Source organism: Homo sapiens, chromosome 11 (assembly GCF_000001405.40).
Source record: "Homo sapiens chromosome 11, GRCh38.p14 Primary Assembly".
Lineage (NCBI taxonomy): Eukaryota > Metazoa > Chordata > Mammalia > Primates > Hominidae > Homo > Homo sapiens.
The window spans coordinates 133,921,449-133,942,032 of record NC_000011.10 but is presented as its reverse complement, the minus strand read 5'-3'; the positions used below and the strand labels follow the sequence as shown (position 1 = coordinate 133,942,032).

Here is a 20,584-nt window from a genome sequence, read left to right as displayed (position 1 = left end):
CTGTGGCAGGCTCTGGGAATACAGCAGGAGGCATGACCCTGTCCTAGGTCTTAAGGAGACTTCAAGAGACTGTCACATCCAGAGATTACTGCCATATGGCTTTGGGAGCACAAAGGAGGGAGAACTTCTCTGAAGAAATGGCCTCTCTTCAGAGACCTGGCTAGGGAGGGGAGTTCGTCACGTGCAGGTGGGAAGTGGAGTAGGGTCCTCCAGCCAGAGTGGACAAGCGTGCTCGGAAGCCCAGAGCGAGGAGAGCGGCGCATTCAGGGAACACGGGTAGGCTGTTCATAGGGAAATGCTGGGCGGGAAAGCTGGGGATGGTGCACCATCTGCTCCAGGCTTGAGAACCAGGGCTGATAATAAAAGACGCTTTTCCATAATCAAGGCACCTACCTGCGCACAGGCAGAACAGAACCAACCCTTCTGCGGTGAGAGATCTCCTTTCTCCTCTTCTGCCTTTCTCTTCTTCCCAAGTTCGAGGCTCCTTCCAGCATAAAAATTTCCGTTACTGAAGGAAGGAATCCAAGCACCAGCATTACGTTGCTTTCAAACTAGAATGTTTAATGTCAGGCATTTTCTGACGGGGATCACCTTTGGAAAATGAAAGGCCAGTGAACAATTAGAATTACAAATTGTCTCATTTTCCTTCGGTGTTTTCTTTGAAGACCAGTTGGGTGGAAACAGACCCAATTATTTCTTTATCACATATAAAATACCCCAAAAGCCTGAGCCAAGCCTTCCTTTAGGTTGGTGAATTACATGGAGGAGAGGGCAGCCTATTTCTAACCTGCACTATTAATTACAGGGCTCTTGTAAAAAAGAATTAAGCCTGGAAATGCAGCTGGCAAGCTGACATCTAGTTCCGTAAATAATTGACAGTCAAGCCATTATTTTCCTGAAAACTAGAAATTGTTCAACGTACTTTCCTGATTAGCACCTAAATAATAAAGTAATTATGTAATTAGTAAGTAATTTGTCACTTCAGGATGTAAATTTAATTTATTATCTTTTCTTTTAAGCTTGGCACCAGAGGTAATAGAGGCAGTATCTGTGTTCACTGTATTTCAAGGGGCAGGCCGGGCAGGCAGGGGCTGTGTCGGAGATAAGCACGCTCTCAGTGAGAAGAGGCCTGCAAGTTAGGATCCCAGGACCCCTTTACAGGACTTCGAATAACTTTTTGCCATTATTTTTAGTATATTCTTAGACACTGGATAAGAATTGATTTTTTCGAGGACATGCGAGGTGTATGTTTTTGCATGTGATGACGCGTGTGAGGACGTGCAAGGTGTATGTTTCTGTATGTGATGACGCGTGCGAGGACATGCGAGGTGTGTTTTTGCATGTGATGACACGTGCGAGGACGTGCGAGGTGTATGTTTTTGCGTGTGATGACGCGTGCGAGGACGTGCAAGGTGTATGTTTATGTGATGACGCGTGCGAGGACATGCGAGGTGTGTGTTTTTGCATGTGATGACGCGTGCGAGGACATGCGAGGTGTGTGTTTTTGCATGTGATGACGCGTGCGAGGATGTGCAAGGTGTATGTTTCTGTATGCGATGACGCGTGCGAGGACGTGCGAGGTGTGTTTTTGCATGTGATGACGCGTGCGAGGACGTGCAAGGTGTATGTTTCTGCATGCGATGACGCATGCGAGGACGTGCGAGGTGTGTGTGCGTGCGATGACGCGTGCGAGGACGTGCGAGGTGTATGTTTCTGCGTGCGATGACGCGTGCGAGGACGTGCGAGGTGTGTTTCTGCGTGCGATGACGCGTGCGAGGACGTGCGAGGTGTGTGTTTTTGCGTGCGATGACGCGTGCGAGGATGTGCGAGGTGTGTGTTTTTGCGTGCGATGACGCGTGCGAGGACGTGCGAGGTGTGTTTTTGCGTGCGATGACGCGTGCGAGGACGTGCGAGGTGTATGTTTATGTGATGATGCGTGCGGGGACGTGCAAGGTGTATGTTTCTGTATATGATGACACGTGCGAGGACATGCGAGGTGTATGTTTTTGCATGTGATGACGCGTGCGATGACGTGCAAGGTGTATGTTTCTGTATGTGATGACGCATGCGAGGACATGCGAGGTGTGTGTTTTTGCATGTGATGACGCGTGCGAGGATGTGCAAGGTGTATGTTTCTGTATGTGATGACGCGTGCGAGGACGTGCGAGGTGTGTGTTTGTGCGTGTGATGACGCGTGCGAGGACATGCAAGGTGTATGTTTCTGCATGCGATGACGCGTGCGAGGACGGGCGAGGTGTGTGTTTCTGTGTGCGATGACGCGTGCAAGGACGTGCGAGGTGCGTGTTTTTGCATGTGATGACGTGTGCTCCTGCATTCATTCAGTGGCCACCCTCCGTGCGCCCCTGCTGCGCTTGCACTGAGCTGCAGGCTTTGGAGATGAGAGATGAAAGTGGTCTAGCTGTGGCCTTGCTCTTAAGAAGTGTTTTGGTATCGGCCTGCAGGTCTGTGTATGTGTGAACACCACTCATTTGTTTGTTTCATTCTTTCGTTCATTCAACAAATGTTTGCTGAGCCCTTGGCTACTACATCCAGGAACTATGCTAAAAGCTGGGCATGTGGTGACCTACGCAAAAGGGGGCTGCTCTTAAGGAGCCACCATCCTAATAAAGGGGACAGGTAAGAAACAGGTAAACACACAGAGAGAGACAGACTTGTAAGTGATATGTGCTTTGAAGAAAATGAAACAGCACCAGGGAATAGAGAATGCTGGAAGTGCCATCTGAGATGGGATGGGCTGCCCAGGTAAGGCAGCATTTTAGCAAAGACTTGCATAACCCAAAGGAGTGAGCTCCAGGTATGTAGTCCTAAGCAGGTAGAGCCACACATGCAAAGGGCCTGAGGTCAGAAGTTCTTGGTGCATTTGAGGAAGACAAAGGCAGCCAGTGTGGTTGGAGTGCGCTGGGAGGGAGAGGAGGCTGGTGCCACAGGCAGGACAAGATCCTATAGCGCTCTGACTAGTTCTCAGGGCAGGGCTGTGTGGGGAGGAGGGACCCTCCCAAAGCTTCCCGTGAATGCCTCAGTGGCTCCTGAAGAGCTGATAGAGATGGCGGTGGTACTGGCAACTGGTGCATTTTACAAGCTCCTTTTTACATGTTTATTCCTCACATCATTTCTGGAGGGTAGGGGAGTTAGGTATTTAGGTAAGACCCAGAGAGGCTGAGTAACTTGTCAAGCCTACCAGAAGTGGCAGGCTAGTGCTTGAACTTGGGTTCTGAGCTTCAGGTACCTTGAGATGAGCTCAGCTTGACCTGCGCCAGCCTAGTGCCGTGGGCCTCCGGGCTGGAGTTCAGAACTGGGGGCCTCCTTGCCATTTCAGAAGACTCTGGAACTGATAGTCCAAGGGGTTAAGATTGACCGGATTGCTTCTACAAGCAGCTCAGGCAAATGGGACTGAGTCTGTGAAAAGCCGATTACCCAAACAGGATGGAGTTTTAATCAAATCTCCAATGCAGGGGGGAAGATGACCTGACATGATCAGAGGAAAATGAAGAAGGGAGTGGCCTTCGGGTGGGCTGTCCACCTTCATCCATGGAAGCCAGAGAGGGAGGAAGCTGGATGATTTTCTCAGCAGAATCTGGGAAAATGAGGTTCCGCGTAGCCTTGGCCTGCATCTGTGTTAAGTCTTGGTAGGGCTCCGACGGCAAGTGTCCTGGAAACGCGGGGGCCTGGCTGAGCTGGGTTTCAAGAAGTAGGAGCTCCTGTGTGTCATGGATCATCATAAAGGGAAAGACTGAAGGATGGTAGCAAAGCCTGAGGAGCTGGGAGCAGGCAGTGTTTGTAAGGGCCACCCTAGAGTAGATGCTCAGTTAACATCGGTGACCTGGGAATAAGCTACAATACAGAATTTGGACCCAGCCAGCCTGAGTTTGGATGCAGGTCTCCCTGCCAGTGATGTTGGTAGGCAGAAAGTTTTTCCCATCCCCACCTTCCTTCCTTTGTCCTTGCATTCCGCAGAGCCGCAGCGAGGGTGATGTGTGGGGCAGGTACTGTTGTTGCAGGGCAGCGATGTGGCTGATGGCGTGTCCTTCATCTTTGTGGTCTCCTTTGCAGCCCCTCCCACCTTTACAGAAACACCCCCCCAGTACATCGAGGCCAAGGAGGGTGGTAGTATCACCATGACCTGCACAGCTTTTGGGAACCCCAAGCCCATTGTCACCTGGCTCAAGGAGGGGACGCTCCTCGGTGCTAGTGGGAAATACCAGGTGAGTGTGGTTCTAGGTTGGGGCCGCTGCGGTCTCTTCCCCCGTTTCCCCAGGGCAGCCTCCTACTGCAGCCGACCCCTGATGCTACAGGCACAAGCACAGAGGAGGCTGGAAAGCCGTAGCCTGGCTCAGCTGCAGGCGTCTCTGTGTCGCTGGCGGGAGATGGGCAAGGGGGCACCTGCCCTTCGTGTCCCCCAGATGCATCTGTCCCTGTGGTCATCTCCACCTTAGTGTCTCCGACTGCATCTCCGTGTTTGAGGGTAGCAGCGGTGGGTGTGAGCGTGGGTGCTGAGCTCCCTCTGTTTTGGGCTCCCAGGTGAGTGACGGCAGCCTGACAGTGACATCGGTCAGTCGGGAGGACAGAGGTGCCTACACCTGCCGAGCGTACAGCATTCAGGGGGAGGCTGTCCACACGACTCACCTGCTTGTCCAAGGTAGGAGCCATTTCCTCAGCCTCTTTAACCCTGGGCTCCCGCGGGGATGTCCAGCCCGGCTGAGCTACGGAGGGCGTTTTCCCAGGGCTCAGCTGGGGCTAGTGGAGGTGCAGGCGGCCATGAGGACCTGTGCGGGGCTCCTGTGTGCTGCCTGCTGCCCTGGTCAGAGCTCCTGCACCGGCTGCCTGGGAGAGGGCCAGGCCCACAGGCCGTGGCCAGGCACCACATGGCGTGGCAGAGAGGCCCCTGCTGTGTGGGTTTCTGGTTTCTCCTTCTGTTCAGATAGCATCTCTCCCATGTCTCCGCCTCCCTGGGAGAGGAGACCTCCCTGGGGTCATCTATCCATTAGTGACGGCATCAATAAATAAAGATAGAAACTCAATCCAAGCCCCAGACATTTAAATAACACAGTGGGCATTTGGCAGAGCTGGGGTCTGTATGGTCAGCACAGGGAGATGCCAGACTGCCCTGCCTGGAGCCCCAGAGTCCCCAGAGAGGGGCCAGGAACTGTGCAGGATGGGGCAGCGTCCCGGTCGGGGGGTCTCTACCCTGTGCTGAACTCGGCCCCCGGCTTAGCCTCCCCAGCCCTGCCTCCTGGAGGAACTCGGGGGTTGTGGGGGTTGGTGGCGGCTGCATGCTCCTCCTGCCTCTGAGTGCCGAGCAGCAGCCTGGGCCAGAGGTCCCTCAGCAGCCTGGATGGAAGCTGTTCCCTCTCAGGGGAGACTTGGCCGCAGCTGCCCCCTTTGTCTGTGCAGCCAGCACCAGGACTGCTGGACTTTCACCCTCTGCTTACTCCTCGGCCCCTGCACCCCCAGCTGCCCTCTTGATTTCTGGCTGGGGAGCAGCCCACGGCCCTGACTCCTTGAGACTGGACTATTCCTCGCTCTAGATTTGAAAAGAGTTGCCTTTCTCCCTGCTGCATGTCTGGCTCGGGCTCTGCTGGGAGAAGGCAGGCAGGAAGGGGGTGTGCGTGGCGGCTGGTCTGGGGAGCCTGGTGCGGGGGCAGGGGTGGTGGACAGGATGCCTGAGCACAGATAGCATCTGGAAGTGTCTCCATGACAGCCGCCCCCATCGCAGTGTTCAGGGCACCGCTTCCTGAGGCACTGAGGGCTCCCAGGAGGCCTGGGTGCTGCTGCCGTCCCTGATCAGGCGAGGTGGGGTTTGTTCCCTGCTCTCCCCAGGGCCCCCTTTCATCGTCTCCCCTCCTGAGAACATCACCGTCAACATCTCCCAGGATGCTCTGCTCACCTGCCGGGCAGAGGCGTATCCGGGCAACCTCACCTACACCTGGTACTGGCAGGACGAGAACGTCTACTTTCAGAAGTGAGCACCCTGCTCTGACTTTTCAATGAGGTTGCCACCCCAGCCCCCACGGGCAGGGCCCCTGAGCAGAAATTGCACGGGCAGGCTGCCCGTGGCTCTTGGAGCTGGGGGAGGTGGGCAGTCTGGTCCGTGTGTCTCACATGCCAAGGCCAGGGTCTGCATGGAGGGGCCCTGGGGATGCCAGGGGCATGGGCTCTCCATGCCACATCTGGGGCAGTGACGGTGACTGTGTGTCTGCGGCAAGATCCCCTTCTGCTCGCCCAACCCCCTGTCCCCATGCCGCTTTGCAGCGACCTGAAGCTGAGGGTGCGCATCCTAATCGATGGGACCCTGATCATCTTCCGGGTGAAGCCGGAGGACTCGGGGAAGTACACCTGTGTGCCCAGCAACAGCCTGGGGCGCTCCCCCTCCGCCTCGGCGTACCTGACCGTGCAGTGTGAGTAGGGGTGCAGGGGAGCCTGGGTGGTGGGGCTCCCAGAAGGTTTTGGTGTTAGCCAGACTGTAGGCTGGAGGGTAGCAAAGACCAAGCATCATTTGGGGGCATGTAGGTGGAGGAGCGAATAAGAGAAGAAGGAGGGATGGCTGGAGAGGAGGCCGAGGCCCTGGACAGTTGGGGTGGAGCAGCTCCTACTTCGCTGGCCAGGCGTCGCTGTTCAGCCAGTACATCTCATCAGCTCCGTGCAGGCTGCACTCAGGAAGACACCTTTGAGCAGTTCCTTCTGAACGGTGGTCCTCGGGCTGAAGGCTGGCCTGCACCTCTGTGCCCAGAATCAGTTGCTCTCTGGTGCTCTTTTCTCAGGTGTCTTATGGAGCATAGCCCAGGCCCATGCAGGGTTAGGTTTCTCCCAGCCTTACTCCCTGCCTTTCCACACCGCGTCTGTGTCGGGGGCGATGTGCTCCAGCTCCTGCGCCTGCTCCCTCTGGCGTCCGCGGCCTCTCCCCTTGGGTGGCTGGAGATCCAGATGAATGAGCTGCTCCTCACCCAGACGTTCGAGGGCTTTTGTGCAAGCACCACCATTCAGCTTGCTGATCTTTAATACTGAGCCGCCAGTTGCTTTCCCGCCCCCTGGCAAGCTGAGCCCTGAGACAGAGAAGGATGAGTAATGAGGAGTAATATCTTCCTTTTGATTTGTGGATGGCCCTGTCACTCAGGCAACAAAGGCTGGCATTGTTGCTGTAGATAACAGACTCTCCCTCATTTCCCGGCTGGTGTGGGCGGATTGCTCACACCCAGCGACAGGGAGTGGCAGGGGTGAGAAGTGGAACAGTCTGGAGACAAGACCGGGGTCAGTGTACGAGCTGAGGACAAGTGGAGGATGGCTGGTGGCCCTGGAGGTGGAGCTGGTCCGACTGCTGCCCAGAGCTGGATGTGGACATTCCACCACTGGTCGCGGTGGTGGAGCACGCTGCGCCTGCTGAGCGCCATCGGACCCCTAACCTCGCAGTCTCACTCTTTCCTCTCTATGGAGTGCATCGCCTCTCTGCGTCTGCCGTCAGCCACTTAAAGGACTTTTGATGTGCTGTATTCCCAGGCCCAAGCTTTAGAGAGCCGTGAGGTCCAGGACAACAGATCTCACTCCCCAGACCTGCAGCGGGAAAAAGCGAGTTGAGAAGTTATTCATACATGACTTAGGATGTGCCCAAGCTGTGCTGGGGTGGGGAAGAGCTGCAGGAAGGAGAGACCCGTCCACCACAAAGGTGCGCCCCGTCCCTCTGTGCTGGACGCAGGCTGTGCCACCTGGCACGGAGTTGGCCATGGTGGGGCAGGAGGAGCCAACAGGAGGTGGCCTTTGGAAGACGAGCTGGCCAGGATGAAGGCCCCTCCTCGAAGCCATAGGCCATCTGTCTTTCTGGAGACATGTTTTGGTTTTCCCTGTCTCTCCCCAGCGCCAGCGTCACCACCCACTCCCCCTTGTCCTTTTTTACCTCCTTCCTGTCTTCAAAGAAAATCCAGGGGGTTGAGATTTACAGGTGGGTGAGACAAGGATTTTTATTTCTGCTAAAAAGCAGTGTTCAGAGTATTTCCCATTCATAAACGCTTTGAAAACCTTGGAGGAAAAAAAAAAAAAACTCTACCATACAAAAGTAGGAAGCTATGTCTAAATATATAACTCGGCCTGGTATTTATGTAACACTGTTCTCTGAAGAGCTCAAAATGCTTAAAAGATACCAGCTCATTCATCCTCACTGCCTTCCTAGTTCTGGATCCTTCTCCTCCGTAGCCCTCAGGAGAAATAGGGGAGTACTGAGAGGAGGTGACTCAGCCCGCATTGCAAGAGGTGTGGGGTTCTCGTTGCTCCTCCGAGAGCCAGGGTCCTGCTGTGTCACCAAGGTTGGAGTGCAGTGGTGCCATCATGGCTTACTGCAGACTCAAACTCTTGGGCTCAAGTGATCCTCCCGCTTCAACTTCCAGAGTAGCTGGGACTACAGGTGTGTGCCACCATGCCCAGATCATTCAAAGATGTTTTTGGTAGAGTTGGAGTCTCGCTAAATTGCCCAGGCTGGTCTTAAACTCCTAGCCTCATGCAGTCCTCCCACCCCAGCCTCCCAAAGTGTTGAGATTACAGGTGTGAGCCACTGCACCTGGCCTGATTCAGCATTTCAGCTGCAGAATCAGATGGGGAAATGAATCCAAGGAAGGCTGGTCAACCAGCAGAATGGGGAGGAAAAATACCCCCTTTGTGGTTAAGCCTATGATAGTGTTCTTCTTTTGGCTTCGGATGTAGAGGCGGGGACTGCTTGTTGCTCAGGAGACTTTGGGATAAGGAGCTGTTGGGGAAGGGTGTGGGCAAATGCTGGCTTTGACGCTAGGGGTCTAGGAACAGAGAGAAATGGACATTGAGAGGACCTCGTTCAACGGGTGAGGTCCATGGTAGAAGCATGACAGGGGCACTGAGGATTGGAGCAGGCTCGGACGTGCATCTGAGTGCCTCCAGACACTCAGAACAGAAGTTCTGAGCACCTGGGCTGGTGCATGGGCTGCCTCCGGCCTGGATTCTCACCTGGCTTCCCTGTGTCTGTCTGTCTGCTCTCCCACCTGGCTTCCCTGTGTCTGTCTGTCTGCTCTCCCACCTGGCTTCCCTGTGTCTGTCTGTCTGTCTGCTCTCCCACCTGGCTTCCCTGTGTCTGTCTGTCTGTCTGCTCTCCCACCTGGCTTCCCTGTGTCTGTCTGTCTGTCTGCTCTCCCACCTGGCTTCCCTGTGTCTGTCTGTCTGTCTGCTCTCCCACCTGGCTTCCCTGTGTCTGTCTCTGTCTGCTCTCCCACCTGGCTTCCCTGTGTCTGTCTGTCTGTCTGCTCTCCCACCTGGCTTCCCTGTGTCTGTCTGTCTGTCTGCTCTCCCACCTGGCTTCCCTGTGTCTGTCTGTCTGCTCTCCCACCTGGCTTCCCTGTGTCTGTCTGTCTGTCTGCTCTCCCACCTGGCTTCCCTGTGTCTGTCTGTCTGTCTGCTCTCCCACCTGGCTTCCCTGTGTCTGTCTCTGTCTGCTCTCCCACCTGGCTTCCCTGTGTCTGTCTGTCTGTCTGCTCTCCCACCTGGCTTCCCTGTGTCTGTCTGTCTGCTCTCTCACCTGGCTTCCCTGTGTCTGTCTGTCTGTCCCTGTGTCTGTCTGTCTGTCCCTGTATCTGTCTGTCTGTCTGCTCTCCCACCTGGCTTCCCTGTGTCTGTCTGTCTGTCCCCGTGTCTGTCTGTCTGTCCCTGTGTCTGTCTGTCTGTCTGTCTGCTCTCCCACCTGGCTTCCCTGTGTCTGTCTGTCCCTGTGTCTGTCTGTCTGTCCCTGTGTCTGTCTGTCTGTCCCTGTGTCTGTCTGTCTGCTCTCTCACCTGCGCTTCCTCTATGCAGACCCAGCGCGTGTCCTCAACATGCCCCCTGTGATTTACGTGCCCGTGGGGATCCATGGCTACATCCGCTGCCCTGTGGACGCAGAACCACCGGCCACCGTGGTCAAGTGGAACAAGGACGGCCGTCCCCTGCAGGTTGAGAAGGTGCTAGAGAGATGCATGTTGAGGGTTGGAGTGAGGGCTCCCCCCAGTACTGTGATGCCACCTCTGGGCTCTGGATTTCTGCCAGGACTCCTGGCCCCTTCCAAAAGCCCTGGGCAAACAGAGAGCTGCTTCTGTAGGGGTCTGCGGGTGCCGCCCGCCCCGGGCTGGAGCTCCTGTACTATCCTGCGTGCTGCCTGGCCCAGCTGGGACCCAGCCTGGGATGGAGCGCGGAGTCTCTGACCAGCGTTCCCTGCCCTATCGTCTGTGTCTGGCAGAACCTCGGTTGGACCCTGATGGAGGATGGCTCCATTCGAATTGAGGAGGCCACAGAGGAGGCTCTTGGCACTTATACCTGTGTGCCTTACAACACTCTGGGGACCATGGGCCAGTCTGCCCCTGCGAGGCTTGTCCTGAAGGTGAGGTCCCAGGGCTGTGACGGCCTCCATGAGCTGGGCACCTGGATCCCCGGCCTCACGAGGGTGCCTGTGCTTTCCTCCCCAGGACCCCCCCTATTTCACGGTGCTACCAGGCTGGGAGTACAGGCAGGAGGCCGGCCGGGAGCTACTTATCCCCTGTGCTGCCGCAGGGGACCCCTTTCCTGTCATCACTTGGAGAAAGGTACCTGGGCCCTGGAGCCCTGGGTCTGCAGGGAGGTGTGAGGGCCCAGGGAGCCCTGGGGCTGCGGGGAGGTTTGAGGGCCCAGCGAGCCCCGGGGCTGAGGGGAGGTGTGAGGGCCCAGCGAGCAGTTCTATTCTGGACCTGCCCTGACCAGGCTAGATGCCGAGCAGTGAGCTGACCCTGAAGAGCGGCAGGCACTCGGGAGGAGGGCAGCGTGGGCGGGCCGGGGTCTCAGGCGCGTCCTCCCCATCTGCTTCGGGCTTCTCTCCTAACCCCCATTTCTGTTCCCACCCTCTTCCCTGCCCCTTGTTCACCAAGGTAGGGAAGCCCAGCAGAAGCAAGCACAGTGCCCTGCCCAGTGGGAGCCTGCAGTTCCGTGCCCTGAGTAAGGAGGACCACGGGGAGTGGGAATGTGTCGCCACCAACGTGGTCACGAGCATCACTGCCAGCACCCACCTCACCGTCATCGGTACGTGGCCGGCAAGGCTGGGCCGGGCGGCGGGGACAGAGCAGGCTGGCTGGGGGCGGGGTGCTGGACGCTGGGAGCGTCCCCTGGTGGCCGCTGCACTCTGCGGGCTCCCTTCCTAAGTCAGTGCAGCCCTGAACTCCGCGTCCAGCACCGGCAGCCTTTGCCCCCGTGGGCTCTGTCGGGGAAGGGCAGCGTGGCTCCTGTCCTCAGGGAGGTCTTTCTGGGGACAGGCCTGATGTCCACAGCAGCCCACCTGAGGGAAAGAGGCGGCTGTGTGGCTGGCAGGGACTGCAGAGCCTTGAGTTTAAGGGCCTTAGGGAGAGCTGGAGGGCTGGAATGAGGGAGACGGGGACTGTGCAGCATCTCAGATGAGGGCAGAGCTGAGACCTGCAGGCCAGGCCTGGCGTGCGGAGGCTGGGCAGGAGGAAGTTTCTGGGGTTCTGTGTCTGGGCGTTCCCGTTTCCGATTGCCCGAAGCGCGTGTCCCAGGACCTTCGCCTGGGCCCTCTCAGCCTGTCCTTCTGGGTCCTGACGGCTATAATCACAGTCACAGCCAATGCTTTTGGAGCCTTTACCACCAGTTTTAGGTTCTGTTCCAAGTGGTCTGCACAGCTCGTCCTTCACAACTCGGGAGGTGCGAGCTGGGGTTTCTCTAGTGTAGGTTCCTCGAAGCAGAGGTTGCCGTGGCCCGAATGCTTTCTCCGGCGTCACATCGCTAAGAAGTAGTGGGTCCGGGAATCGAAGCCAGGATGGGGCTCCTAACTGCTGTGCTGTGCTGCCCACATGCCAGCATTGGGGTGGGACGGAGTTGTCTTCTGAGGCCAGAGAACCTTACGGGAGGGGCTCTGTGGCTGTGCCTGCCGCCTTAGGAGAGAGTGTTTCTGTGCTCACCAGAGAAGCACAGGATTTGGGCCAGGACGAGGAGGGCTCTGGTTTCTGTTGGACCCATTCCTGATGCTATGTGATCTCCTAGTTGGACTAGACCGCACAGTGGGACAGGCTTCCTGCTCCAACCCCACTAACAAGCAGGGTCAGGGGAGTCGGCGCCTGAGAGCATCCCCGTCGCCCCCATCCCTTCACTTGCAGTATTGTGCTCCGCTGCCATGCGCTTCAGCCTCTCAGGTTCCCCACAGCCAGACGGTGGGCACCCAGCCACGTGGCTGAGTTCTTTTCAGTCTGAGAGGTCTCCACTTGATCTCCAGGCACCAGCCCCCATGCCCCGGGCAGTGTCCGGGTCCAGGTCTCCATGACAACTGCCAACGTGTCCTGGGAACCAGGCTATGATGGAGGCTACGAGCAGACATTCTCAGTTTGGTACGGACCTCTGTGAGTCACCCCGGCATGCTTTGCTCTCTGCTTCTCCCCTCCCCGGTCTTCCTGCAGGCTACCCCGGGTGGGGGGAGGTAGGAGGAGGCTGCAGTTCCTGGCCTGCCAGCCCTGCACAGACTGAGGTGGGTTGAGACAGTGATGAGGTCCTTGTGGGTGACGGGAGGGGTCTGAAGGGACTCTGGGCATGGCTGTGTCCCTGTGGCCTGAGGGGTCTGGGCCTCTCTGTGCCCTCTCCCTGCTCACGTGCTGCCTCGTTTTGCGTCCTGCTTCATCCTCTGGATTCCTCTGGAGCCTGGAAGAGACTCCTGCCCTTCAAGGGCTTTGTGAAATTGCCCAGCCTTAAGTGTAGAGTCTAGTTTTTAGACTAATTTTTTTTGTATTTTTGTATTTGTAATTTTTGTGGGTACATGGTACATACGTTTGTAGGTATGGGGTACGTGAGATATTTTGATATAGGCATGCAGTGTGTAATAATCGCATCAGGGTAAAGGGGTATCCACCCCTCAAACATTTGTCCTTTGTGTTCCAACAATCCAATTATACTCATAGTGGTTTAAGAATGTATGATACATTATTGTTGCTTGTAATCCTGTTGTGCTGGCAAACACCAGGTCTTACTGGTTCTTTCTCACTATGATTTGTACGTGTTCACCCTCCCCACCTCCTGTAGTCTAGTTTTTATTCTGTCTTTTCCCCAGAGGCCACAGAAACTGGTGTGGAGAGGTGATGCTCACTTCCCAGCCTTGGGGTCAGCCCCTGCATTTTCTCTCTAGGACCATGTGTTTCTCGATTGTTTTCATTCCTCTGTTGTCAGTTTAGCCAGATGCAGTCATATGAGGTCTTTGCGCAAACCTTAGGGTAGATACAGATCTCAAAAATGTGCCAAGCGGGGTGAGGGCAGGAGGCACAGGAAGGGAGGAGAAGGAAGCCTAGCTGACTCCTCCCACCCCCAAGGGCTGCCCCTCCCTACACTCCTGTTTGAGTAAGAGTGGCAGCCACCTGCCCTGCCCCGGGGGTGACAACCTTGAGCTGGGAGGGCGAGCCCCTCAGTGCCTTCTTTTAGACCTGTCTCACCTGCAGGTGTCTCTCTAGCCAGGCTCAACTCGAGGAGGGGGAGCTCGAGGGGAGGGGGAAAAGGCAGGCACCTGGGGCAGCTCAGGGGGTTCAGGGAGACCCCTTTATCCACTTCTCAGCAGCGAGGGAAGTTGAGAGGGGCACCCGCTCTGTCTCCCATCATGGTGGTTCGGTGGCTGCTTCCCGGGCGGAGTGTCCTGGGTGTCTTGATTCTGATTGGAGAACTGCACCTGGATGATGGGAGTTGCCGCAGCTCACCTCCCGTCCCCTTACTCTGTTCCTCCCGCAGCAGCGTGGGGGCCCTAACCAGCCTGCCCGGTGGCTGCTGGGAGACCGGTGCTGCTCAGCGCCTAGGTGTCCAGGGTGGGACATTTGGTGTGGTCAAGCTGTCTTTGGAGATGCCTGGGTGGGAGGTCTGGGCATACGATGGGGGGCTCAGGTGTAGATTGGGGCTCCCCTGCTGCTTGCGGTGCTGCTTCACGCTGCTGCTCCACGCTGCTGCTCATCTGCACTGCTTTTCCACACGTGGCTCCTCGCTGCTTTGTTGCCTGGGCCAGGGAAGGGCGGGGCCGAGGTTGGGGAGGTCTCCTTTCTTTCTGCCTGCCTCTAACTCTGTGCACTGACTCCGACGTTTGGCGCCGGCTTCTTTTTGTACTGCTTTCCGCTGCCTCATCTCACCCTCCTGGGCGTGCACGGTAGTGAGCCGGGACCCGGGAGTGGATCCTGGAGGGCACCCACCAGGTTACAGCTCAGGGCTGCAAGGAGAGGGCCAGTCCCACAGGACCATGTCTCCTCCCTGTGGTGACGTGGCAGCACTGCACCCATAGCCCTCCGGCTTTGCTGGGAGTTGGGAGCCTGTGGAACAAGGGAACACCCTCGGCCCGTCTTCCTACTCTCCATGCATAGCGTGACCTTCTTCCAACCCTTACGGCCTTAGGGATCCTGGCCCCACTGTGGGGAAACCCCTGGTCATTATGGTCTTATACCCTGGACATCTCAGGTGACTCCAGTCTGATTGGATGAATGAGCCCTGTGGGTTACCCGAGGCCCTACTTCAGCTGTCCCTGGGGGTGTGTGCAGCCAGGTCCTGGGCTCCTTCCCTCATCCTGCCACTGTTGAGCCGCTTATCCCCATACCCCAGAGCCTTACTCTCCCAAGGCAGAGCTTGTTCTTAGGGTTGTGACCAGGGTGGGATTCTCCCACAATGCAGCTGGTAATCCATCTGACCAGTGTCCTGAGCACGACTTGCACCTAAAGGCCCCTTTGGTAGAAAAGATGCCAGCTGTGGTTGGTGACCCAGCATCAGGAGGATTGGCACAGCCAAAGCTGGGCAGGGCATCCACTCTGGGCCATGCCCTCTTCTTGCCCTTGAACCTAGGAACGCCAGGCCCACCAGTGCCTTCTCCCTGAGCACCCTGCATGCACCCTCTTCTCTCCAGTGTGACCCACCCCGCCCCTCGTCCCCTATCCTGTCTCTCTCTTTTGGCCAGGATGAAGCGGGCACAGTTTGGGCCCCATGACTGGCTGTCCTTGCCAGTGCCGCCAGGACCCAGCTGGCTGCTGGTGGACACCCTGGAGCCTGAGACAGCGTACCAGTTCAGCGTCCTGGCCCAGAACAAGCTGGGAACCAGCGCCTTCAGTGAGGTGGTCACTGTGAACACTTTAGGTGAGGGCCCGGGGTGGGATGTTGGGAGCGGGGGTTGTAGAGGTGGTGGGGGCGGTGGCCCAGGCAGCTATAGCAGTCGGCCTCCTGTGTGCCGGTACCTTGCTGAGTGCTCCACAGAGCCGTGCCATCTGATCTCCCCGTGAGGATTTGTTGTGGTCTCTGTGGGGTTTGCTGGTCCTGCATCAGAGTGCCATTGGCCGAATTCCTGTTGCTTTTTCAGGTGGAAGAAAGACACTTAGAATTTTCTCTTTCCTTGTCAGGCCACATGTTTGCTTTCAGGGGAGATTGGGCATCCTCCCTCCTTGGCAGCGCCTGCCGGTTCTGGCCTCTGGCCCCAGCGTCACTGGGCGGTAGGCATGTGGCTGCCTCCCGCTGCAGAGTCTTCCAGGCCACCTTCCTGGAGGCAGCCTCATACTCCTCCCTGCCTGGCCACAGTTGTGTTTGCTCTGCTCTGGAGCCAGAGAAAGGGCCACTGTGAACAGGCTTTTCCTAGGTGGTGTAGGTGGCGCGACTCCAGCCCCTTTCCCAGAATCCGCTCCTGAGCGGCCGCCAAGGTGGACAGCAGTCTGGGATGCTCACCCCCAGTCCTTGGCACCTCTGTGGGGCCTTGTGTTGACCCCCAAACCCCGGCCAAGAAGGGAATGGAAAGAGTGACTGCTGTGCTGTGAGAAAGAAGATATCCCTAGCTCCCTGGAAGAGCACAGGAGATACTTTGATGACATTTAATTATTCCTCCTTCCCCATAGTTCCCATTTCTCTTCCCTTTTGCAGTACACGATTCCCTCATGTATGTTTAGACGTACTCTGAAGGCAGAACCCTGAAGCCCTGGGCCCCGGGCCCTGACTCTGCTTCCCTCTGGGCCCTGACATGTGCACAGGAGTGTGGGGGGTGCGGTGGCTGCCCTGGGCCTCGCTGATGCGCTGTGGTTCTTCTCCTTCCCCCGCCGCAGCATTCCCTATTACAACTCCAGAACCCCTGGTGCTGGTCACCCCACCGAGGTGCCTCATAGCCAATCGGACTCAGCAGGGTGTGCTCCTGTCCTGGCTTCCGCCTGCCAACCACAGCTTTCCCATCGACCGCTACATCATGGAGTTCCGTGTCGCAGAGCGCTGGGAGTTGCTCGACGATGGCATCCCCGGCACCGAAGGAGAGTTCTTTGCCAAGGATCTGTCACAGGTGAGGGCTTTGCTCTTCCTTGCTGCTGCTTCCCAAATCCGGGAAGCGACAAGACTCTAGAGGCACTGGAAGCTTTGAGTGACCAACTTTGGGTGTGTGAGGCCAGCCACATCCTGTACCTCCTCACCACTGGTCCTGGATTCTCCCAGACTCGCTACCAAGGCCTGGACTCCTCAGATCATGGCCCACAGGCTCGGGGCCAGCTCTGGGGCAGCGGGGACCTGTGTTCTACTGAGGGTCCCGGCACCGCTACAAGCTGGGCAGGGCAGGCTGAGAGGCCAGCAGGCGTAATCAGAGCACTGACCCCAGCCCTTGCTGAGCCTAACCTGGGGTGGGCAGAGAAGTTCCAAGAAGAATTCTCTTCTAGGTGTGTCCAGGGAAGAACCCCTTCTCCAGTAATTTAGAGCTCCTGGAAGAAAGTGCATTATCTCTTTTTCCAGTAGCTCCGTTAAACTTGGATATCTAGCTGGGGAGAGGAAGCAGCTGGTTTCCTAAGATACAGTCTCATCTATCTTTCTGTCTTCCTTCCTGGACACTTATTTATCAATAGTGGTTGCTGGAGTCGGCTCCCAGTGGCCCTGGAGAGCCTGTTGTACATATCTCTTCCCAACGCTTTCGGTGACCTCACGTTCGTAGCTTGAAGTCAGCCATTGTAAGAGTGTTTACACCACAGCAATTGGCCAGTGCTACCATCGCTTAGCATTAGACACTTAGCAGTCCTCCTGTGCTTTGGGTGCCCTGCCCTTTGCAAGGCTGTGTGCAGGATGAGTGTGTGAGGGGACAGTGGTCATCTCAGGTCCCTCGGCTGACTGGGTATTGTCCCTGGGGCTGCAGGACACGTGGTATGAGTTCCGGGTTCTGGCCGTCATGCAGGATCTGATCAGCGAGCCCAGCAACATCGCCGGCGTCTCCAGCACAGGTATTTTGGGTTGAGGGTGCTCTTGCAACTATAGGGACATAAGCCCCAGAGCTGCATGGGGGTCATTTTGTGAAATGGCTACTCCACGAGGAGAAGCTGGATTGGAAACTAAGGCAGTGCCTGGTTGCAGCTGCGTGAGTCATAGCCTTTCTTAAGCCCACCAGACCCATATTTCCATGATGCATGCTATTTCGTGAAGCTCAGAAGCTGAGTTTCTGACACTTGTATAAGACAGCCACAGAAAGAAATTCAACTAATCTTCTCATTATAGTAGTCAAAAAGGACTTGATTGAAGTGCTATTTGCTGTACATTTTCAGTTTCCTCTTGTCGGGGAGGGGCTGTGAATCGGAGGAAACAACAGGTCAACCATGTTTATCAAATGCTTGTGATAGACTTCTTTATAATTATGTGGGTTTTATTTGGAAAATTGTTGTTTGGTGTTTTCCTCCCTTCCTTCCTCTCTCTAGATTTTTAAGGCTAAATAAAGCCAATTCCCTAGCATTTTCTCCATTTATCTTTCTTTCTCTTGGCCCTGGTCCCATTTCTACACATCTTCTCTCCAGCTATAGTTCCTGAGACATAGCAGGTTCCTCCGCCAGTGAAGGGGTGTCCTTGGTATGGGAAAAGGCTCTTGCTTATAAGCAAGTGATGGCATCATTTCCTTGGGCACCGCTCACCCAGAGTCCCCTGGGACCAGGTGACAGTGACCTCGTCTGAGGAGCTCATGCAGCAGGACTTGTAGAGTTGGGGAAGTGCTGGTGTGGGCACACTGCAGGGAGCACGAGAGCAGGGGCAGGTGTGGAGTGCAATTTCTGCTTTATACATTAGGCATCAATGGGCTTTAAAAAAAAAAGGTTGTGTCCTACAGGTAGCAGAACCCACAGTCTTTCTTGACTTCTCTGTGGGGAATAGACTCAGAGTTGGAGGAACAGGGATGAGAGCTTGCATCCAAGGCTGGAGCTGAAGAAGGGGTGTTGTGTGGGCCCACCCCTGACCATTCTGTGCTCAGTAGCTCTATGCCAGCTCCTGGCAGGAAATGTGCCTCGTCAGACACTTCCACACAGGGGAAGGAGGAGGCAGCAGCCTCAGCATTCCCTGTATTAGGTCCCCCATTTCCAAAGGCTGTAGCTTTCATTTTCCCCTCAGACAATCAGCATCATCTGGATTATTTTTATCCATTATTATTATCGATGCAGCAATGAATTCTGGCCAAATACGTTACAATCTATCGATTCTGCCTTTGCTGAACCTAAGCAGTGGCACTTACCGACACAACTTTCCTATGAGTATAAGATGGTAGGCTGGTGTCTAGTCTTGGCTCGGTCATAACGAGCTCTGTAGACTTGGGCAGGAAAGGAGGACGTTCAGCTCCTTATGGTGAAACGAGAGATTTGGCTCCATCTCTGCTGTCCCTGCCAGCTCTAGGGTACTTCCGTACCTGAGATGACCAGGATGCGAATCTTCAGGACGTTGCATGCCTGTACTAGAAGGGGAGAGGATCTGAATTTTGTAGTAATAATCCCTCTTCCTGCAGTCGTATTTTATCCTCAAGTTGCCTTCACACCTGGGCTCTCCTTTTGTAGAGACACTGGTGTGAGGCAGGAAATCCCAGACTGGGAGCAGGCAGCTGCGTTCTGGTTTGGGCACTGATGGCAATATCCACGTAAGCGGGTCTCTCTAACCCAGTGGATCAGAGCTCTTTCATTTAGAGAATGAGAACAGTATGTGTGCTCTGTGTAGCTCATGGGGTTAACATGAGAAGAGCTGATAACGTGCATGAAGGTGCTTTGCAGAAGGCAAAACCCTAGATAAGTATAGATTACTCTTGAAGTCATTATCCCCATGGGGACAGGCATAGATGTTTTCTTCTTTACACCCTTTGGAGAGATTGACTTCTGTAGACTCTCCTCTCTTCTTCCTCTTCGTGACGCCATCCAAACCTCTTCAGTGCTAGAGTTCAGCTTGGAGCCCGAGCCTTGACACTGTCTGTTCTACAAAGGCAGGGTGAAACACTTGGGGACTGAAGGTCGGAGCAGGTGAGGTCCCGGGGAAGGATGGGCTCATGAGTGCTCCCCACCCTCCCTGCAGACATCTTCCCGCAGCCGGACCTGACCGAGGATGGGCTGGCGCGGCCTGTGCTGGCGGGAATCGTAGCTACCATCTGCTTCTTGGCAGCTGCCATCCTGTTCAGCACCCTGGCTGCCTGCTTTGTCAACAAGCAGCGCAAGCGTAAGCTCAAGCGCAAAAAAGGTGGGTGTCTGTCCCCTTCCCTTGCTCTCCCTGGCCCGGTTTCAAATGCCCCCCATCAAGAGAGGTGGACCATTTTTAGCATGGCCCCCCTTGGAAATAGGGACATTGAGATCTTGTGGGTAGAGCTGCCAGTGAGACTTGATTTGAAAGTGGGGGTAAGAAGCAGGGGTGGTGGGGAGAGGCTGCTGGGGCCCAAGCTAGCATGAAGGCAGGGGCCAAAGATGCCCACTGTGAGCAGCTCCTTCCCTGTGCGGTGGTGCTCCGGCTCTGTCAGCCTCTGCAGATGCGCGTGCTGCGTGGTTGCTGGCTTGGCCTCAGCAGCCTCTCCCCTTCTCTTTCCTTCCAGACCCTCCACTCTCCATCACCCACTGCAGGAAGAGCCTGGAGTCTCCGTAAGTGTCTCAGATCCTGGGAGAATTGTGCTGTTCATGGCAGGGGGCGCATAGGTAGACCGCTCGCCTTACCCAGCCCCATGTTAGTGTTTCTAAGCCATTTCTTCTTGATTGACCTGTGTGTTAATTGTACTTGCCCAGCCCCATCTCAGTGTTTCTAAGCCATTTCTTCTTGATTGACCTGTGTGTTAATTGTAAGTTGTCCACGCTGGTAGAGGGAGTGGCAGTGCAGATGATCCAAATTAGCCAGTAATCAGTTTCTCTTCAGCCTTGGAATGTATTTCTTTAGTGTTTTCCCACCCTAGCAGATTTGCCTCCTTAATATGTGTTGCTTAAGTTGATATTAAAGTGAGCTTGCTTGTCTTGAAAAGAGGGGAATGAAGCTGGAGGTGTGCTTAGAGCACAGCAGAGAGGGGGCAGGCCAGCACAAAAGTGAAGAGGCGGGTGTTCACTGGAAAGACGGATGATGGGGGGGGCCGGGCGCGGCGGCTCACACCTGTAATCCTGGCACTTTGGGAGGCTGAGGCAGGAGGATTGCTTGAGGCCAGGAGTTCAAGACCAGTCTGGGCAACATAGCAAGACCCCGTCTTTAAAAAAAAAAGGAGGATTCACGTCCAGACGGTGGAGAGTTGGCCAAAGCATTTCACACCACGATACACAGCCAGTTTTCTTGAGCGTGAGGATCCTGGGTGCTGGGTGGTTGCCGAGAGAGGGAAAGGAAGTCCTGG

At 55.8% G+C, this 20,584-nt stretch overlaps 1 protein-coding gene across 1 annotated transcript in view, besides 8 other annotated features; it reads left to right on the top strand.

The window, feature by feature from the left end:
* Nucleotides 1–20,584, top strand: part of IGSF9B (immunoglobulin superfamily member 9B) — a 60,531-nt gene that overhangs the window by 14,936 nt on the left and 25,011 nt on the right. Inside the window, exons 4-17 of the mRNA NM_001277285.4 lie at nt 4,072–4,223; nt 4,540–4,657; nt 5,839–5,980; nt 6,271–6,416; nt 9,820–9,962; nt 10,238–10,378; nt 10,464–10,580; nt 10,899–11,049; nt 12,251–12,362; nt 14,942–15,117; nt 16,068–16,294; nt 17,129–17,213; nt 19,303–19,464; nt 19,811–19,856. Coding sequence (NP_001264214.1) covers nt 4,072–4,223; nt 4,540–4,657; nt 5,839–5,980; nt 6,271–6,416; nt 9,820–9,962; nt 10,238–10,378; nt 10,464–10,580; nt 10,899–11,049; nt 12,251–12,362; nt 14,942–15,117; nt 16,068–16,294; nt 17,129–17,213; nt 19,303–19,464; nt 19,811–19,856 — 1,918 coding nt within the window. The remainder of the gene's footprint in view (nt 1–4,071; nt 4,224–4,539; nt 4,658–5,838; nt 5,981–6,270; nt 6,417–9,819; nt 9,963–10,237; nt 10,379–10,463; nt 10,581–10,898; nt 11,050–12,250; nt 12,363–14,941; nt 15,118–16,067; nt 16,295–17,128; nt 17,214–19,302; nt 19,465–19,810; nt 19,857–20,584) is intronic.
* Nucleotides 1,083–1,804: an enhancer, noted in NCBI's record as "H3K4me1 hESC enhancer chr11:133810124-133810845 (GRCh37/hg19 assembly coordinates)". NCBI's record gives its function as "activates a minimal SCP1, AML or CMV promoter by ChIP-STARR-seq in primed H9 embryonic stem cells {active_cell/tissue: H9 hESC(primed)}" and the evidence as "EXISTENCE:reporter gene assay evidence [ECO:0000049][PMID:30033119]".
* Nucleotides 1,805–2,527: an enhancer, noted in NCBI's record as "H3K4me1 hESC enhancer chr11:133809401-133810123 (GRCh37/hg19 assembly coordinates)". NCBI's record gives its function as "activates a minimal SCP1, AML or CMV promoter by ChIP-STARR-seq in primed H9 embryonic stem cells {active_cell/tissue: H9 hESC(primed)}" and the evidence as "EXISTENCE:reporter gene assay evidence [ECO:0000049][PMID:30033119]".
* Nucleotides 6,201–6,959: an enhancer, noted in NCBI's record as "H3K4me1 hESC enhancer chr11:133804969-133805727 (GRCh37/hg19 assembly coordinates)". NCBI's record gives its function as "activates a minimal SCP1, AML or CMV promoter by ChIP-STARR-seq in naive and primed H9 embryonic stem cells {active_cell/tissue: H9 hESC(naive and primed)}" and the evidence as "EXISTENCE:reporter gene assay evidence [ECO:0000049][PMID:30033119]".
* Nucleotides 6,960–7,718: an enhancer, noted in NCBI's record as "H3K4me1 hESC enhancer chr11:133804210-133804968 (GRCh37/hg19 assembly coordinates)". NCBI's record gives its function as "activates a minimal SCP1, AML or CMV promoter by ChIP-STARR-seq in primed H9 embryonic stem cells {active_cell/tissue: H9 hESC(primed)}" and the evidence as "EXISTENCE:reporter gene assay evidence [ECO:0000049][PMID:30033119]".
* Nucleotides 10,867–11,539: an enhancer, noted in NCBI's record as "H3K4me1 hESC enhancer chr11:133800389-133801061 (GRCh37/hg19 assembly coordinates)". NCBI's record gives its function as "activates a minimal SCP1, AML or CMV promoter by ChIP-STARR-seq in naive H9 embryonic stem cells {active_cell/tissue: H9 hESC(naive)}" and the evidence as "EXISTENCE:reporter gene assay evidence [ECO:0000049][PMID:30033119]".
* Nucleotides 10,925–11,219: an enhancer, noted in NCBI's record as "tiled region #9399; HepG2 Activating DNase unmatched - State 20:ReprD". NCBI's record gives its function as "activates a minimal TATA promoter and a strong SV40 promoter by Sharpr-MPRA in HepG2 cells {active_cell/tissue: HepG2}" and the evidence as "EXISTENCE:reporter gene assay evidence [ECO:0000049][PMID:27701403]".
* Nucleotides 11,005–11,299: an enhancer, noted in NCBI's record as "tiled region #3502; K562 Activating DNase unmatched - State 20:ReprD". NCBI's record gives its function as "activates a minimal TATA promoter and a strong SV40 promoter by Sharpr-MPRA in K562 cells {active_cell/tissue: K562}" and the evidence as "EXISTENCE:reporter gene assay evidence [ECO:0000049][PMID:27701403]".
* Nucleotides 14,340–14,429: a silencer, noted in NCBI's record as "silent region_4088". NCBI's record gives its function as "represses an Ori minimal core promoter by ATAC-STARR-seq in GM12878 lymphoblastoid cells {active_cell/tissue: GM12878}" and the evidence as "EXISTENCE:reporter gene assay evidence [ECO:0000049][PMID:35858748]".